At 40.1% G+C, this 19,795-nt stretch overlaps 1 protein-coding gene across 52 annotated transcripts in view, besides 3 other annotated features; it reads right to left on the reverse strand.

Annotated features, from left to right (window-relative positions):
- Positions 1 to 11,269, reverse strand: part of MPDZ (multiple PDZ domain crumbs cell polarity complex component) — a 173,986-nt gene extending 162,717 nt beyond the window's left edge. For 12 of the 52 annotated variants that reach the window (NM_001375427.1, NM_001375426.1, NM_001375424.1 and 9 more), the window contains exon 1: positions 10,977 to 11,269. The gene's annotated coding sequence lies outside the window, so the exon portion shown is untranslated. Of the gene's footprint in view, positions 1 to 8,150; positions 8,349 to 9,988; positions 10,335 to 10,606 lie in introns of those variants that run through there. The other 40 variants (NM_001375425.1, NM_001375420.1, NM_001375419.1 and 37 more) reach the window with 12 other exon arrangements.
- Positions 8,745 to 9,460: an enhancer, noted in NCBI's record as "H3K4me1 hESC enhancer chr9:13277167-13277882 (GRCh37/hg19 assembly coordinates)". NCBI's record gives its function as "activates a minimal SCP1, AML or CMV promoter by ChIP-STARR-seq in naive H9 embryonic stem cells {active_cell/tissue: H9 hESC(naive)}" and the evidence as "EXISTENCE:reporter gene assay evidence [ECO:0000049][PMID:30033119]".
- Positions 9,461 to 10,176: an enhancer, noted in NCBI's record as "H3K27ac-H3K4me1 hESC enhancer chr9:13277883-13278598 (GRCh37/hg19 assembly coordinates)". NCBI's record gives its function as "activates a minimal SCP1, AML or CMV promoter by ChIP-STARR-seq in naive H9 embryonic stem cells {active_cell/tissue: H9 hESC(naive)}" and the evidence as "EXISTENCE:reporter gene assay evidence [ECO:0000049][PMID:30033119]".
- Positions 10,177 to 10,892: an enhancer, noted in NCBI's record as "H3K27ac-H3K4me1 hESC enhancer chr9:13278599-13279314 (GRCh37/hg19 assembly coordinates)". NCBI's record gives its function as "activates a minimal SCP1, AML or CMV promoter by ChIP-STARR-seq in naive H9 embryonic stem cells {active_cell/tissue: H9 hESC(naive)}" and the evidence as "EXISTENCE:reporter gene assay evidence [ECO:0000049][PMID:30033119]".

Here is a 19,795-nt window from a genome sequence, read left to right on the forward strand (position 1 = left end):
ATTCCATATACTTCAGGCCCCCAAGTCTTTATCCACCTCTGTCACTGAAGCATATGACAAAAGAAGAATGAGGATAACTATCTAACTTCTGAGCTCCCAATTTAGTGGAAAACGGTAAGTAATTATACGGCAACGTGATAGGTAAAGTTCCGAGTACAGAGGAATTCAATACTGCCAACGTGAGTCAGAAAGAATTTGTAAGAGATATGACACATGAATCATCTCGAAGTATGAGCCGATAAGGAGAGTGTGGAGGAGAGCAGTAAAGGGAAAGGCATTTCTCACTAAGGGAAGGACATCTGCTAAGGCAACAAAACCATAAAGAACCCAGATAATTTGATGACAGTGAGGCTGCAGTACTTGGGTCCAGAATGACAGGAGCTAGGAAGGTAATGTTTCCATGGCCTCACTGGGGCTTTGCCCTGCAGGCATGCTGGACCATGCAGGGACATTGGGGAGGGAGTTTGGAGGGTACAGGGATTACAGGGATAGAGAAAATTTATTTTCTGATAAAACAATTCTTGCAATAGTGTAAATATTCCACCAAAGAGGGAAAAGAACTAATGATAATACAACCAGATGTTAGGTTGTTAAAAAAACCTCATAGAAAAAGATGAGAGCCTAGATGAAGGTAATGGCAAGAAAAAAAAGAAAAGATACAGACTCATTCATTAGAGGCAATCAAAAGGACTCAGTGACCAGTTGGTAACTGTTAGGGCCAGGAGGGGTGAATGAGTGAGACAAACAGAGGTCAACTCTCCCAGTGATTTTAATCTGGGAAACTAGAACTATCAGGACATCATTTAGCCAAAAGAACAGCAGAAAGATAAATATATGGTTTTAGAGGAAAGAGAAATATGGTTATATTCCTTTTGGACATACTGAGTTTGAAATGCCTCTAGAAAACAGGAAATAATTGAATTTTAATTTCATGAAGGTAGGAAGTTTTGTGTTGCTGTTGTTTCCTTTTTCTCTCAGGGCTATATCCCCAGCACCAGAAGTAATGGCTGTGAGATAAATTAAAAATCCTAGTGGAATCAATAACATTCCTGCAAGCTCCAAGATGAAATAGTGTACATATAGAGAGGAGCATATTATCTAAAAAAATAAAATTTGCCATGATCCTTTCTTATTCAGCTCCATACTAAACCAAAACAAATGTACCTCTAGTGCTTCTGTTAATTGAACATGCATACAAACAAGAAAAAAATAAAATCTGTTCACAATAAAAGAAGTATTTTTCATAATCTGTACCAAAGAATTCCTAGAGAGAACCCTGTAGTCCTCTGCCAGCAAAGAGATGTTACTGTCTAAATCCGCTGATAAGCTTGTCAGTCATTGGTAGTCCACACTGCTGAGAATACACTAAGAAAATTCAGCAAGAAATGACAATTTACATCTTGCTGGCAAGATTCCAGGTAGTTCAGATAAGGGAAAATTGCATGAAGAAATCCAAATTACTATGAACCTATCTGAACACGTACCTTAGCCATATAAGATAAATAAGCATGCAGCAATTCGATCTCCTAATTACTAATTCACAGATAATGTAACAAGCTACACTATTTAGTTACCATATGTAATTCTATAGGATTCATTGGGGTTATCTTGACAAGTGATATTTTCTCCATGAAAGCATTTTAAAAGGGCTTATTCTTTCAATGAACGTGACTATTTGCTTCTTAATTAACTCATCTACTATTTAAATGCCTCCATTAACTGCTTTTTACTCTGGCACTCAAAAGACTAAACATTAATATTAAGAGCACAAACCAACTTTTACTTTCGTAATAATCCAGAAAGGACATCTGCTTTAAATGTTGTTTTATTTATTTTGTTCGTCACTTCAATTAAGTGATCAGAAGGTACAGACAATATATAAACATTACAAATGACCCAAAAAAGGCTGAGTGGTTCCAGCCAACATAACAGGTTTTCATAACAGAATGAAGACATCTTATTTCTTGATTTCATCTGACCTTATAGCTTAGCTGCATGAGCTAAAGCTGTGTTGACCAACACAGTAGCCAGGAGCCACACTGAAACACACTACTGGGCACTTACACCTTGGCTAGTTCTAAAGGCAATATGATAAAAGACATGGGTAAAAGACATGGCATATTTTGGAGAGCTTTTTTTTTTTTTTAAGAAAGTAAAATATCTCAACAATGTTTACACTGATTATATTTTGAAAGAATAATTTGAAGAAACTGGGTTAAACAAAATATATTATTAAAATTAATTTCACCTACTTCTGCTTTTTTCTTCACTGTGGCTACAGACAACTTAAAATTACATATGTGGCTCACATGATATTTCCATTGGCCAGAGCTGATCTAGAATGATGCAGATCTTCCCCTCTCCAACTCTTGGGGTGTTTGATGATCTGAATTGTAACATATACAGAATGGCAATTATTTGAATAATTTCAGCACCAAATTACTCCTTTGTTATCCAATTCACTATATGACTGTCATATACATTTGTCACAGGAGTGACAGATCTATCAAACATGGTAAGAATTACAGAAAACATGCAAGTGGGTGAGGAATATTTAGCAAGCAGTCAAAATAAAGCATTGGGTTCAATACTGAAACTACTGTGCTGTGCTTAAACTCTTCATACGGTAGGATACAAAAGTTTATGGAAAGCCTCAATAATCTCCTGACTTTTTACTTAATCATCTCCTATCTTTCAAAATTAAATATTTTTAAATCTTTTTTACAATTACCGGTAGTATTTTTTAAACTATTGACTTACATATTTTGTAGCTCCAACATTTAAATAAGGGCCTTTAAATTTTCTATGTTATGTTTATCAAAATGGGGCATGAATTTAAGAAGACTGAGAAACACCATCAAATACAAAAGTCGGACTCACACAGTTGAATCCAAAGGGGATCAGAACATGCCACTCCAAAATATGCTACTTTGGCATCAGTATTATTTTGAACTGAAGGCAAATAGGAAACGGAAGACAGGAGCACTCTCTCCCCTGGCCCTTTCTGTGTAAAAGTAGAACACAAAATTCCCTTTGTAAATGTGACAGAAATGTCCGTTTGTAAAGATGATCATCTCTCCCTTACCAGTGAGAACAACTTTTATCATGAAAATGATGCAAAAACCCCAAATCTATCCTCTTCTTTGGGTCTCTTCTTTTCTGCGTAGCCCCCATGAATATGAAATTAAAAACATCAATTAAATGTTAATCTGTGTTCTGTTAGTTTTAATTCACAGGCCTCACTTATAGAACCTCAAAGAGTAAAATTTTTCCTCCCTCACAAAACCAAGAATGAATACGCACCATAAGACAACGGAAGTGCAGGAGAGTTCTAAATGACTTAAAAACTCTTTAATGGTATATCCATGCAATGACTACTACTCAGCAATGACCAGTACTGAACTATGAATACAGGCAACATGGATGAATCCCAAAATAATCACATAGTGAAAGAAGTCAGACAAAAGAGAACATACTGTATGATTCCATGTATTTAAAGCTCTAGAGAACGCAAACTAATCTACAGTGACATAAAGCAAATGAGTAGTTTACTTGGAGATGGGAGGGGTGGGTAGAGGAAAGGACTACCAAGATGCATGAGGAAACTTTCGGGGGTGATGGATATGTTCACTATCTTGATTGTGGGGGATAGCTTCAAAACAGCCAAAATTCAACAAATTGTACACTCTCAATATGTGTAGTTTATTGTCAATTATGACTTATACCACAATAAAACAGTTAAACAATTATAACTTATACCACAATAAAACAGTTAAACACTCCCTCCCACCTCCTTGAGAAAAGGATAGGGGCTGAATAGGTTGACTTTAGCATCCAACAGATGTTCACTGAACATCTTAATGAAGCTAGCTAGGGAGCAATAACCCAGGCCCCAGGGCTATTTCTTCTCATTTTCCTCCCTCAGCCAAAGAGCTAAAAATACTTTGTGACTTAGTCTAACCCGATATATATTCAATAGATTAAATCAGAATGAAGAGCCATTCCAATGCTATAGTTTTGTAAAACAGCATAGGATAACTGCATTTCCTAGCCCAGAAAACTGTGAATGTGATGGGAAAGGGTTGGAAGGGTCAGACAACACTCCACTGAATCATATCGATGAGGCCCCTGTAATCCCAAATTAGAAAATGAGGCCGAGCGTGGTGGCTCACTCCTGTAATCCCAACACTTTTGGAGGCTGAGGCGGGGAGATCACCTGACCTGAGGTCAGGCGTTCAAGACCAGCCAGGCTAACATGGTGAAACTCTGTTCCTACTAAAAAAAAAAAAAAAAAAAAAGAAGAACAAAAGAAAATGAATGCTGTCCAGAAGTGGATTCAGGCCTGACTTATTAAAATGCAATACCCTGGGACACTTGTGGGGAGTGAGAAGCCGAGGAGGAAATACATAAGCTTTATGAAATTTACCCAGTAATGCCTTAGACAAAGCAAGACCTATTAAGGGGGCTGCTATGGTCTGAATGTTTATATTCCCCCCAAATTCATATGTTGACATCCTAACCCCCAAAGTAATGGTATTAGGGGGTGGGGTCTTTGGGAGGCAATTAGATCACAAGGGCAGAGTTCTAATGAATGGGATTAGTGCCCTTATAAAATAGGTACCAGAGAGCAGCCTTGCCCCTTCCATACCATATGAAGACACAGCAACACGGCATCATCTATGAGGCCCTCACCATTCACAGAATCTGCCAGTGCCTTGATCTGGTACTTCCCAGCCTCCAGAACTATGAGAAATAAATGTATGTTTATAAGGGACCCAGTGTTTGATATTTTGTTATAGCACCCGAAATGAACTAAAACAGGGGCCTAGCAAGGTATAAGAGAAACTGGACATATCTTAAATATATCGGAAAGGAGTTTTTAAATTGTAGAATAATCTTTAATCTTTATGACTCTATCATCATGGTTTTGTTACGTTAGTGATATCTTATGAACACAGAAGGATAGCTTCTCATGACCATTTTCTATGACAGTTCCCTGAAGCAAGGTATCCTATGGAGCCACCTGAGTACACAATATAAAGTTACTGTGAAATTAACAATATAGTGAATTGGTTAACAAAGGAGTAATTTGGTGCTGAAATTATTCAAATAATTGCCATTCTGTATATGTTACAATTCAGATTATCAAACACACCAAGAGTTGGAGAGGGGATGATCTGCATCATTCTAGATCAGCTCTGGCCAATGGAAATATCATGTGAGCCACATATGTAATTTTGTCTGTAGCCACAGTAAAGAAAAAAGCAGAAGTAGGTGAAATTAATTTTAATAATATATTTTATTTAACCCACTTTCTTCAAATTATTATTTCAACATATAATCAGTATAAACATTGACTATTAACACTTAATTTTAAGCAGAAATCAAAATTTTTTAAAATACGTTCTCCACTGGTATCCTACATGCCACGTGGTAGTGAACTGTATCATATCTCTTCAAAAGACCTGAGACATCAGTTCAAACAAATGCTATTAGTATCAACTCAAATTATATAACATTTAATAATCTCAGATCAGATGATGCTCATTTAGAAAGGCAGCAATTGGTGAAATCTATTGATCAACAGCTGCTCTATCCATTTGTTATATCAAAATAACTTAAATATCTTCATTTTCAAAATATGTGTCTTGGGGATTTTCTTGTGGGAGTGGTATCTGGGTGATCTAATTACAGGCAAGCTTTCCGTCTTCTTTTCACTTGTATCTTCCATACCTTTTAAAATGTGCTATTTACTAAAATAAATAATTACCTTATGTATTTTATTATCAAAATAATTTTAAAACATAAGCAACAACATTAAGTTTTTTCTTAATTTTTTTTTTTGGTAGTTGATGTTACTGGGTTTTTTTTCTTCTTTTTTAATAAATGTTTCATTTTTCACTTTCCCCTCATGCACTTATTTATAGCACCTTGGATCTGGAGGCAGAGTGGTTTACAAGAAAATAACAATGAATGTTGCTTTTGCAGACACAAATAAAACTAAAAAGTGGATAAAGATAAGAATTCCCTAAACAAAACAAATTTAACCACCACAGGCAGACAGGCCAGAAGAAAAAAAGTAAGAGTTTGTCTCCTTTTATTTATTTATTTATTTTTAACTTAGCTGGCCAGATTGGGAAGAATGGCTCTAATGGTTTCATTAACTCAACAAATAAAATTGCAACACCTAAAAAACAAAAAAAAAAAAAAGTTTTTATTTTATGTAACATAAATTCCCTTTTATTAATCATATTTTCCCAAAAGGGGGAAACATTTCTGAAGGAAAAAAGATTATGCCATACATTACCCCACAAAACACGTATAAGACAGACAGTTTTTAGATCAATGGAATTTAAAGAATAAATTCTGTTGTTTTAATCAGACTCAAAAACCACTGAGACATTTACAACACAGTGTTTCAGCTTTGCCAAATTTAGCGCTTTACTATTTTTAAGAACCATTAAAAGAAATATTTTAAGAAAACGAATGCTTTTATAAAACACTTAAAAAAAAAATTAATGCTCTGTCCACAAAAAGGCCACAGAGGCACAATTTCCCAATGAACATCCAGAGAAAGAAAATAAGTGGCCTCAGGCCAAAGATAAAATACCTTTGTCCTCAAATAGCAGCTTCCCTTTCTTGCCAAACATCAAATTACCCCAGTAATGCTCAGACTATGCACTAGCCTCCAATACGAGCTCACTGCCTCAGAGTCTCACTAGTTTACACACTAAGTCTCTTTGAGAACCTTGTTATGAGCTAAACTGTGTCTCCTAAAAATTCACAGGAAATCCTAATCCCTGTACCTCACAATATAACTGTATTTGGAGATAAAGGTTAAATGAGGTCACTAGGGGTGGGCTCTAACACAATATGACTGGTTCCCTTATAAAAAATTAGGCTATAGACATACACAGAGGGAGGGCATGTGAAGAAACAGGGAGAACTCAGCCATCTACAAGCCAAAGAGCGAGGCTTGGTAGAAACCAATCCCACCAACACTTTGATTTTAGACTTCCAGCCTCCAGAACTGTGAGGAAATAAATTCCTGTGGTTTCAGCCACCCACTCTGTGTTATTTTGTCAAGGCAGCCCTATCAAACTAATACAGATTTTGGTACCAGGAAATGGGGTGCTGCTGTAACAAACACCAAAAATGTGGAAGTGGCTTTGGAACTGGGTAATAGGTAATGGCTACAAACGTTTTAGGGTGCATGTTAGAAAAAGCCCAGATTGCACTGAAGAGGTTAACTCTCAGAAGGAAATGTGACTTGGGTTATTGGAAAGTGGAAACTTCAAGAGATAAAAGTCAGCCTATACTTCATTGCTCTCCATTAATTGCTCTTCCCTATCCAACCTTTTCCCCTGGGCACAAATCCTCTATTCCACTCCAGAAATATACAAATTGAATATGCTCTCCAGTACCCACTGCCCACTCACATCCCAGCCTCTTCTATACATGTCCATTTTCAAGGGAAAACCACTGACTTAAGCTCTACTTCATATCAAAAAAACTTTCATTTCCACCCTCTCATCTCAAGACCAAAGCCTTTCTGTGTCTTATTTACTAACCTCAATGATAAGAGCAACTAATCCCTATACTTCACTACTTTCCTAGAATCCCTGTAACATTTTTAACATGTAAAACCTTTCTGTTATTTCTCCCATTAGATTCCTCCAACTAAGACCCTACACTTCTGGAGCAGAATCATGTTTATTCTGTACTCTCCCCAATGCCTAACCCAATACAACATTCTTCCTAATCCATCTATTACTACCTACTACATGAATACCTCGGATCTTCTCTGGAAACGTATCACAGGAAGGCAATGGATTCCTCACCACTGGTTTCCTTTATCGAGAAGTAGTTATTTACCTCCTTAGTCTTATTCTCCCACATGGAATCCCACTAAAATTATTTAATCACAGTATATCAATTTTACCATGCTAAATATCATTTCCGAACTGTACTTATATAAATGCTCTCCTATGCATGACACTAATTTACAAGAAAAAATGAAACCTTTATTGTTATAAATATGGGGTTGATAATGTACGTAACAATATCAAATGAAATCCTACTTTAGGCCAAATATCTATTTTCAAAAGTACATACAACTGTTTTGGACATATATCATCACTCATACGCACCATCAAGCAGTCCTAAATTCACCAGGAAGTTGTCTGCTTCTTCTCTTTAAAGTGTAGGATCTTTCTCTGGCAGATGTGCTATTTGCTCTACCATATTTGGGGACATTCCAGTCCAACTTTGCCTCAAAATATTTCATGAAATTCAGAGTACTTTGTACGTTTCCAAATATACAAAATGTAGCCAACCTGCAACTCAACCTGAGAGAGACAAGACTATGTCAGATCTGGGATGTAATCTGGAGAAAATAATCTACCTCTAAGTGAGGATAGTTACCTTCCAGGCAATTCATTGTTCCTCTCCAGCTTTTAAATCCCTTAATCTCAATTCTAGACAATGGATTCACTTGATCATTTGTCAAGCAAAATCTCTCCACCCTAGCAGTTAAAAACTAAAAGTGGCCAACTAGACCTAAATCCATGTAAAGTTACATATCAAGGATTTCCAAGAGTCTCTCTGAATAGCTTCAACTTGTAGAAATATACTAAACTCTGAGACCAGCCTCTATTCCTCACAGTTAGGTACATTTAAATGCATCTGAAAAGGAAAGATGTCTTTAAGGGTCAAGCAGAGCAATGTCTAGGTGATAGGACTTTGAAGCACACTAAAAATTGACTAAAGATCCCTCCCTTTCCAAGCCACAACCTTCAGGCCTAGTCAATAAAAAGGAGTGTGGTAAAGGGACAAAGAAAACCAGAACTAGAGAAGGTAAGTGAAAAGAATAAACACAGAAAGGATCAAAGGAAAAAAAAAGGAACATATGTAAGAAATAAGGTACACCATAATCTATTAGTAATATGTTGAGAATAATCTTCATTAGTTTGTTTGTTTTGGCAAATGAGATAGGGAAGAAGAACGGAGAGTCAAGGGGTACCCAAAACTAGTTTTGCCTACATTGCACACAAGGGTACAGGTGCCTCCATCCAAAGCTTAGTATTGTATTAGAAGATCAAGTCAAGGAACGTTTTGCTAGGCTTTTATTTTTATTTTTTATTTATTTACTTATTTATTGAGTCAGAGTCTCGCTCTGTCACCCAGGCCGGAGTGCAGTGGCGCGATCTCGGCTCAATGCAACCGCTGCCTCCCGGGTTCAAGCGATTCTCCTGCCCCAGCCTCCCTAGTATCTGAGACTACAGGTGCGAGCCATCACGCTCCGCTAATGTTTGTATTTTTAGTAGAGACAGGGTTTCACCATGTTGGCCAGCCTGGTCTTGAACTCCTGACCTTAAGTGATCCACCCACCTCGGTCTCCCAAAGTGCTGGGATTACAAGCGTGAGCCATTGCGCCTGGCCAAGTTTTGCTAGGTTTTTAAAACACTATTGTTTGCCAAAATTCCATCAGGTGCTAAGGCATACATTATACAAATTTAGATAGTTCCAACATTACAAGATGTTCATTGTAATCACTCATACCCAAATTCAACATGTAAAACTCCCAAGCCCGAAACCATCACCTCCTCCTCGTTAGTTTTCAGATAAGGTGTTATTTATTCTATAAAGGGTAACCTAAACCAGGAATTTCTAGGGAAACACGAAGGGGATGTTTACATCAAACTGTCTACAAGGCAGGACGAGGCAGTCTGATCACTTATCAGATTCCTTCTCTATGACATCAAGGAACATGGAGAAGTTTTCCTTCTACGCTGGTGAAGTCATGGTCCTCTTATCTATCTGATGATACCTAGGAAACACTAGCCTCCAACCGCAGCCCCTACTGCAAAAAGGCAGTCAGTGCCCATTGCCGGGGTCTTCCCAAGCGGAGCACCTCAAAAGCCGCACCGCGCAGTAGAGGTCTCCAGGGGCCCCCACTCGCCCCCAGTGACTACGGAGCGGCCTCTACCTCCCGCCGGCGCCTGGCCACTTCTCCTCCCCCGCAGTCTCCGCTTGATTTCCATGTGACTGCAGGCAAGAATAGCCCAGCCTTTGTGCCTCTGCAAAGAACGCAAACAAAAATGTACACCATCACCACCCAACAAACGCGCAACTCCGCAAGACACAAAGCGTCTCCCAAACATCGCTTCCCTGGTAACATCCGGCATCCTGGGGCTGCCAAATCGCAGACAAAGACGCCCATCAGCGCGGGGGGTGAGGAGACTAAGGGAGAGACAAGACCAACGTGCTCCCACCAACGGGAGCGGCGGTTAAAAGGGCGCCGGTGCCAGGGGTGAGGGACGGGGCACCGGTACCAATTAGCGGCTCGCCTCGGGGTCCCCGCGGCTAAGGCGAGAACGCAGGACCAGGAGCATTGCTGCCCACTCTCTACCGCAACCCGCACATCCCGGGACCACGTAACGGCGGATGGGGCGTCCGGGAGCGGCCCCTGCAGGGGAGAGCAACAGGCTCCCGCGCCCTGGAGGCCTGGTCTGCGCTCCGGGCCCCCAGGCTAACACCCCACCCCCAGCCCCCCGACACCAAGACTGTGCCCCTCTGGGTCAAGGAAAAGGAAAAACTTTTAAACCTCTTAGTCAGCGAGAGCAAAAGAAAGGGGTGGCGGGGGTGCTGAAAGGTCTAGGATTATCCACCGCGGGGCTGGGGGGAGTGGAGACTTGCGAGTAGCAAAGGAAACTTCTAGACCCCATCCTTTTAAAAAAGCCACAGCAGCGGCTTCCGCGAAGCGCCGGGCCGCGCGGGGTGGGGCAAGCGCACCGCCCCACCGCCCCACGGCCCGCCGCCACCCCTACCCCCACCCCCACCCCCACCCCCATCCCCGCCCCCACCCCCACCCCCAAGCGCCGAGCCCAGGGCGCCCGCGCACCTTCCCCGCCGGCGCGCGCGCAGGGCGCGGGGGCGCGCCTCGGCCTCTGGGCCGGGGCTCAAGCGCCGCTTACCCGGCTCGCGGCGCCCGCCCAGGGCCGCGACGCGAGGGGGCGGAGGACTGGGGAGCAGGGGTCGCCGGGGCCTCTGGATGCCTCGCCTCGCCCACGCTCACTGTCTTCTCTTCTGAAGTAACGACCCGGCGAGGAGCTTCGGATCAAAACGCACAGACACTCACGCGTGACTGAGAAACTTAATCCCGCGGTGGCCCGACGCCAGCCTAGCGCTCCGCCGCGCCCCCTCCCCCAGCGCGCGCCGCACTTGCGCCGACCGGGGCTGCCGCGGAGGCGGTGGCGGGGCCCAGGCTGCTGGGGCTGCCGTGACGCCTGCGACCGGCGGGGCGGCGGGCGCGCCTTGGCCAATCAGGGGACGCGGCCGAGCAGGCCTGTGCGGGGTTTTAAACTCGCTCCTGGGCCGCTCGACCTGGGGTGTGGGTAGTGGACTTGTGAGGTGGTCAGATAAAATATAGGCTGCTCTGTTAAATGGGAATTTCAAATAAAAAAAAAAAGGAATAATTTTAGTACAAGTATATCCCATGCAATATTTGGGACGTACTTATGCTAAAAAGTTCTTCGTTGTTTATCGGAAATTCAAATTTAATGGCAGTCTTGTATTTTTATCTGCCGATTTTGTCAACCTGCGGAAACTGATAGCCTGTTTCTAGCTCCTCAGATTTTCCTTATGTGCACTGCCCTGTGGATGCTTTCTGCATGGGTAGCTTACTGAATGGCATAGGATGCTTATGAGAAGCGCTTTAATCAGAAGGGTGGGGGCAGTCCTCTCACTTTCTAAGTAACTTTTCGCACATCAGGGTGCATTCTTAGTCTGATGATCCAATTAAAAAGCAAAAACAGTAAACATGGAAAAGTTATTAGAGTTGCATGGCCCCAGGAAGAACAGATATTCATTTCTATTTTGTGCCACTTAAGATTTTCTTTCTGTTATCCTCAATTTGGAAGTCCCACGAATTTTTTTCTGCATAAGAAACTCTTTTTCAAAATATCCCTCTGATATTAGATTATAGGACCAAAGGATACTCAGAAGTCCAATTTAGAACATTTAAAAGAATTTCTTTTAATATTCTGAATAAAAATACTTTTTTCTCATATTCCTTGGACTTTCAAACACATTCACAGCTGTTGACCTCTCTCTTCCTAGAGTCCTCCCCACCCCACCCCTCTTGTAATTCCATGCAATCACACTCTTGGTTTTGCTTCTTCCGCTTAGTCAAGGGCGGATGTATGGGCTCTGAAGCTTGTACAATTGGGAGCTCTGCTTTAACCAAAAAAAAAAAAAAAATCTTTCTTTAGAAAAATTCAAAAAATAAATGCCCATGTAAACACATTGCTAGGGTTGCTCCCAGGCAAGAGAAGGACCCGGAACGTTAAGCTACATCAATTTCCAGGTAGATCTGCCCCTGTCCCCAGGCCACTCTTCAGTCTTCTTTGCCTCCTCTCCCCCAATCTTTAGATGCTGGAATTCCTTAAAAATCAGTTACGGGCCCTCTTTTCCTTTTAACTCTTACCTCTAAATACATTTTCACTTCTAGCTTATGATCTCGTACCTACAGAATCTTACATTTATACCTTCAGATTTATCCATATATTCAAGTGTTTATTTGGCTTCCCTGTTTGCTTGTCTCAAACCTAGATTGCAAAAAAAAATGCAGCCGTGATACTTCTGCTCAAGCCTGGTCATCTTGTTCAGTGTCCCAGTGAATGGAACTGCCATAGATGCTACATGATTCCCACAAACTACGATAAACCCATTGTGATGCATTCTTATGGTACCCTATGCTTTTGCTTCATAATATTTTTCCTACTTTGTAAATATGCATTTGATTTTGTAATTATGCAATGTCTCTTCCCTCTTCAACCATAAACTCCATGAGAACAGGGGCTAAGTCACCATTTTATCCTCAGAGCCTAGTAAAAACTTCACACTTGGTTGGCACTCATATGAAATAGGATGAATATACGACTGCAAGAATGAATAATTTCTCCATATAACTTTTGTGTTCTTGTCATAGAGTCACCTCAAGGCATCCCATTTGGAAAGGATTTTCTTATTGCTTAGAAATTCCAAAGGGATCCTCCTGTTTGAATAGCACTTCTACTTGTCAGTTTTCAAATCTGGTCATTCTCAAATACAAAGGAAGTACGTGCATGAAATGTTAGCTGCTGGGGTAGTGTAGGAGGAAAAGAATTTCATAACTAGCTACTGAAGGAATTCTTTGAGTCCTAAAATTTTAAATGGCATTTTTTATATTGAACCATAGGGAAAGAGCCCATAAAACTGAATTAGAGGAAAGTTTTAGAAATTTAATTCCCTGGTTTATTGTGGATAAATGAGATTAAAACAAATAATTTTACCTTGGTTTAAAAGGTGCTATTGTTCTAGTCTCCTTTAGCGAAGCAAAGCCCACATGCCCTCTTTAAACAGCAGTATATCAGAGGATAAAAAGGCATCTGGTTTAGATTAGTCCTTGCATAAAATTATCCAGAGTTTGGGGATAATTCCACCCTGAAGCTTCTCCTTTTGAAGTTAATCCGTATAGCTATTGCTCTATTCTCTTTAACTTGTTCTAATCCAGAAAACCTAAGATTTTCTAGAAATCCACCGGGGATATAGTGCACTAGTTTAAAAAAAAATACCTAAAATAAAAGTTAAAAACATTAAAGTTGAAATAAAATCTTGCAGAGAAAGACAAAGTGTAAAGCAGATAGAGTAGAGGTGCTCTACTCTATGGGATGGCTTGAAACCCCATACGTAAATAGATTAATAATGCTTTCTATTTCATGTTAATACAGGCTCTGGGGTCATTCCACCTATATCCTCAGTGAGGCATTCTCCACAATAATTTGTTTTTCTCAAATTTGAGTCATATTCAGAGGACTTTTATAAGGGAAAAAGTCCTGGAAACTTCTGAGATTGGTTTAAATTATTATTGTTGGTTTATTATTTATTGTTCATCATAATTGAACAGTACAAATATAAACTATGTATATGATATTATTTTACATTTGTGGCTCCTCTCCAACTCTAAAACTAGTGAAAGGCCCGGGTTATCTACTCAAAACCTTTAACGGCTGCTGAAAAGACAGATCCTGGAAATTAAACTTTTGATCCACCAAAATAACAGAGGATTCTTTTAGTTGCCTGCTGAGCACACAGTCTTCATTCTGCTTTTTAACAGCAGATAGCCAAGACGTAGGTGAGACCCCCATGCTGGGAGATGTTACTACAGAACTGCAGGGTTAGAACTCTATGAACCAAATCCTTTCCCAAGGACTGATTTGGGGTAATCCTAATAGTGGGGTGATGGGCTATTTTTATCACCTTTAGCCAGCAGTGACTCTTATTAATAATGCAGCATTTAAATGCAAACTAGATGGCATGCTTGCCAGTCCCTCTACCTAAGGGATATCTAATATATAACAACTGTGCAGTTTTAGTTTATTATAGTTTGTAGATTTTTTATGTTGTCTACTGGCTGACTGACTTTATGGTTTCAATTTGCCTCAGATGTCTCAATTAAAAGAAGAGTTCAGATAAATTTTTTTTCAGTTTGTTCAATGTTAAAAAGCATTTTAAATAATCCTTAATTTTTTCTCTCCATTGAAAAGAAGTCAAGGTTGAAAAAAGAAGATAAAGAAGAAAGAGAAGAACATTAGGATAATGGATATATATGTGTCTAGGAGAAAGCCATTAGGGGGAGAGAATGACTAAGAGAGAATCCCAGGAATGAGAAAAATGTAAAAATTATTTCTCTTTTGAGAACATACAGAGTAATCTGTCTCTCTTCATATAACAAACTGTTTATAGAGAGATAAAGGCTCTGAAATCTCCAGTGTGTCTGATTAGGCCTCATCTCTCTAAGCATGAAAGAAAGGGCATTGGGAGGTCATGACCTTCTGACCTTGAATTCATTTGCATTTGTACCCACAAAATTCTAACTCTATAAGGAAATTCCAGGAGAAAGCATTGGGGCCAGGTTAATTTTAGGAAGAAACACATCCAAACTGTTCCAGAATCTGTGCCTCAAGTTTATGCCAGCTAGAATGACATTTTGAACTATCTTACAAAATATCTTCCCTGTTATGCATACTCTGAGGGCATAAGTGAGTTATCCAAAAAGAAAATCAAGAAAAACAATAACAATAGTGAAAAGAATTTGTTCAAGTTGCATAGTATCTTTTAGGTAATACTCCCCCTTCATGATGGCAGAAAGAACAGAGGGGAAAAAATTGAGCTATTGAAAACACCACTGAGTCAGTGGATTATGTCTTACCTGAAGCCCACTCCACCTCTTGTCTTTCCACTTGTATGAGCCAATAAATTTTTTTTAGTTCTTAAACTAGTTTGAATTGAGTTTTCTGTTGTTTGTAACTAAAAGCATTCAAACTGATGAAATACACATATTAAGCCATTCACAGTGAGCTAGACAGGTACTTTTAAGTTTCAAGGAACACACTGAGATTACCTCAGTCGGAGCTTATTAAAGGATAACTAGGAATATAAGGAAAACATGAGTTTCCACTGGTGAACAGCCAGGTCTCACAGAAAATGTGACATCTTTCTGGTCACAACACAAACACACAGAAACAAAAGGTCATTTCAGAGGATGCAGCTCTAGAGATGAGATTTTCTTACAGTCTGTGTGATTCTACCATAATTATAATCCAGTATACCTCTGTCCCTATGTATCTAGCTTTTCTTCTTCCTCTAATGTTTGTTTATATTGGGTCCTTGAAAGTCTGGTAATCGTGGATGGTCTGTTTATATTTAATAATGAGGCAGTGAGCAGTGTGGGGCTCTGTGCATACCGCAAGGCTTTGTTGACTTGTACTTCACTTCTGAGAAAGCATTACACTCAGGGGCTCCTCCATTCCAGAATAAAGAAGTCTTTACTCCATAGCCATCTGATGTCTTTTGAGAGGACATTTCTGGATGTTTGCCTGAGAAATAGATGCCTGGCTGCTAGGACTTACATATGGAAGCTATGTGTGCATGCGTGTGTGTCTAGAGTGTGCATGTGGGTGTTTATGTCTGTGTATCTGTGCATGCCTGTGATGGTGGTGATAATGTCGGTTGTTCCAATACCCAGCTTTCGCTCCTGACATTTTACTTCCACTCTCCATTGTACCTAGGATTTCAATGTTACCAAGCTTCTCTGCAGTTTTGGTGGATAGGATAGCTCCCTCCTCTGCTGTAGTATCATAGACCTAGGACACTGCTTCTCAAACTAACTGCAAAGGGTCAGGTGATTTGTTTTTTAACTTCCAATGTGTCACTGACCAATGCACTAAAAATAAATTACTAGAAAAATGACATGCTTGGATGTTGTGTCAGTGTTCAATTGCTATAAAGATTTTTAAAGGTTAAGTTTTAATTTGTGTGTGTGTGGACCAGGCTGCAGACCACACTGTGGGGAGCATTATTCCAGGTGTAATGCATACAGAAACAATGCATCACGCGGATGCTTGTTTAAAATGCAGAATTTCGGCATCACCTCGACCTACTGAATCAAAATCTTCAATTTAACCAGACCCCCAGGTGATTTCTATGCACTTTAAAGTTTTTAGGCAGTTTCCACTCCATCTGTTTTTTGTCTTCCAGGAACGTGCTGCTGTATCGCTACCTAGAAAGCCTTTGCTTCAGAGCTTCAGACAGCTAGCATCTTCTCCTCATTCAAGTCACTGGTCAGATGACACCTCTGTAGAGAAGACGTCTTTGGCTCACCAGTAAGTTAGTAGCCCCTTCTCACCTCACATTGCACTGTATTGTTATCTCTGCAGCATTTATCACTATTTAAAATTGTTGCAGTCTCCCTCCTGTCTCCTACCACCATCCAGCTAGAATGTAAGCTCAATGAGAGCAGAGATTTTGTCTGTCTAATGTCCTGTCCTTTCCCCAGTGCCAGCACAGTGCCTGGCAGGTAATAGGCACTCCATGCTGCCTACACTCTGCTTCTTCGTTCCTCAGGAATTCTGCTCACTCTGAGCTTCTGTGTATTGCTTTCTCTGTATGTCTCTGAGTCTGTAATAGGAAGCCCAACTCAAACTGGCTTATAAAATTAAAAAGATGTTGGCATATGTAATAGGAAAGGTACAGAGTGAATGCAGTGATTAGGTCTAGTTCAGTGAGGGTGCAGGCCCCAGCTCTCTCTGATTCTTCTGCAATAATCAGAAAGAACTTCTGATTCTTCATGTGTCAGCTTATGGCCAAGCTGATCACTAGATAACCATCTCAGTTCCAGCTCTCAGATGCACAGAGAGTTATGTCCAGAGACCATCCATTGCAATCTCTCTCTTTTTAAAGAGTAACTCGGCCAAAAACCTCCAACAGTATTCCTTCAGCATTCCTTAGGCTGAATTGGATCATAGGCCTGTTCTAAACATATATGCACGTGGTATAATTACAAGCAATAAAATGCGCAGATCTGAAGTGTACAATTCAATAAGTTTTGACAATTATATACGCCCCCCATAGACAGTAACCAAACCATGATGTAGAATGGTCCCATCACCCCAGAAAGTGTCCTTGTGTCCTTTCCAATCAACCAGGAGTAGTAACAGTGCCTTGCCAAGCCATATTGAAATCTGAAACAAAACGAACAACAGCAATAGTGATCCTGTCTTTAAGATGTTGATGTTTTATTCATTGTGGATTTTTTACATTTTTTTTAAATATTACATTAAAATATGATTCCTCTTGATTACTGGGGTTGTTTGGTATTCCCTCCTTTAATTTTGTGCCCAGGAAGACGCCTCATTCATCTCACTTGCCTCTCCCTAGTTGCAGCCCCACAGCTTTTAAATCTCTCCATATGATCTCTTTGTATGGTCTTCTCCATATGGTGGCCTTCTTCATGAAAGCCAAACTTCTTTGATGGCAGCTGAAGGCTCCCAGAGCAAATGGCCAAGAGAAGCCACCAGGCCAGCTGCATGCCTTGTCTAATCTTGCCTTGGATGTCACACAGTGTCACTTCTGCCATAGTTCATTTATTGAGGCAGTCACAAAGGCCCACCAGGCACACACAAAAAAGGACATAGACCCTATCTCTTGATAGAGAAGTGTCAAAGAACTTACATGAACCCTATTGCTTTTATAGGCATTTTGAGGGTTTAGTGAATAGCCCTTACTTTTGAGTGTTAAATATCCCTGTACAAATTTTTGAAAAAAAAAATGTATCTTGCATTCAATTTAAAGCATCTCATCTTTGCCCTCAGGTTTAGTTGATTGTTGGTTTAATTCACCCTGACTTCTCTCAATTTACTCACTGCTGTTTCTAACTCTTCTAAGTTTAGGTTAAGGAGCTGGGGATGAGATGAAAAGGAACAAAAATATCTTTTTACTTGGCTGAGTGTTGAAAACTGTCTTCTATGGCAGATCTCCAAAGGCTGGCACTTTCTCTTATGGGGCGGTTTAGTGAATTGTTTGGAGACCTTCTCCACTCTGGCTTCTTCGATCTCTACCTTTTATGGGGATGATGTAACGTTCCTGATGACCTCATAAGATTCGCCTTCAAATCCTGCTTTCCTGGTACACCCCACACAAACTCTTCCTGATAGAGTCCACTCATCCCAGCAGGCAGTTTTTCTGGGAAGTCCTTTCAAAATGGTGCTAGTCTAGACACACTACCTTCCAAGTTGCCTGTAGGTGTCACAGAAAAACTCAGCAACTCAGCTTCACCCAAATCTACAGATTTTTCTTGGACCTGCCATCTTAGGCAATTCTTGGCAGCCTCCCACATTCAGACCTTTCTAGGATAGAGTCAGGTGGTAAACTCTGTGCTCTCCAAACTCTGGGGGATCCAGATCAACTTTCTCTGAAGACTTTCTGCCATGCTGTGTTTCAATAGCTGCACTCGAAATTTCCTTTATCCACAGTGAAAACGGAAAAAAACTAGTGAAATTGGCTATAGTTTCTTTACTGCCTTTCTCCTCCAACTTCATTTGCTTCTGACTTACTTTTCTGCATATCTTTTTGCATCTTGCATTTAGTGCTTTTCTTCTAGGTCCAACATTTCTGCGAGTAGTGTGTGAACTTAGCAACCCCCTAACCTTGACCCAACCACAAAAACACACTTTTTCAACTGCTTTAAGGCCATCTTTACCCAAATAACTTTTGCACTAGTTTGCCTGACTTGATATAGTTTGGATCCAACAAATATTCTCACATAGTTTCTTCTTCCTGATGTTTTCTCTTCTCTTGGATTCCAAGTAATTCTTCTCTCCTGCTTGTTTCCTCCCAATCTTCTTTCTGCATATAAAATTTGTTTTAAAATGTTTTATTATTCTCCATGTTGGTATTACTTTTATTTTTAGAGCCTTCTGAGAAAGAAAAATTATTCTTATCAAAATGGTTGTACCTTGAAATCTTGACATTTTGATTATAGCCACTTTATCAAAGCAAAATTTTTAATTTATACATTTTGTCATTGCTCAGATTCCCTAGGAAACATGAAGTTTACTGGAGAATAGCCTTGGAGTCAACAACTGGGTGAGGGGATTGTGAAAGTAGAATTGGGCAAAGAGAGGCATCAAATGTTATAGTATGAGGCAAAGGCTTCAGTAGATCCTATATGGTACTCTGGAACTAACAGGGCCCTTTAGAGTTGTCCCACCTTGATGAAAAGGATTGGCCTTTGATAGGCCTACAGAAATTGCCTAATTTATTAAAAATTATTCCCAAAGATTGTTTCAACATTATCATCCTTATCTACACCTTTGTGGACTTTGCTGAAACTGCTTTTCCTAATTCTGTAGTTGGTTTTCAAGAGTTTTTCAATTAAAATGTAATTATATTGAGTGGATTTATTACAGGTAGT

The sequence above is a fragment of the Homo sapiens genome, chromosome 9 (genome assembly GCF_000001405.40).
Source record: "Homo sapiens chromosome 9, GRCh38.p14 Primary Assembly".
Lineage (NCBI taxonomy): Eukaryota > Metazoa > Chordata > Mammalia > Primates > Hominidae > Homo > Homo sapiens.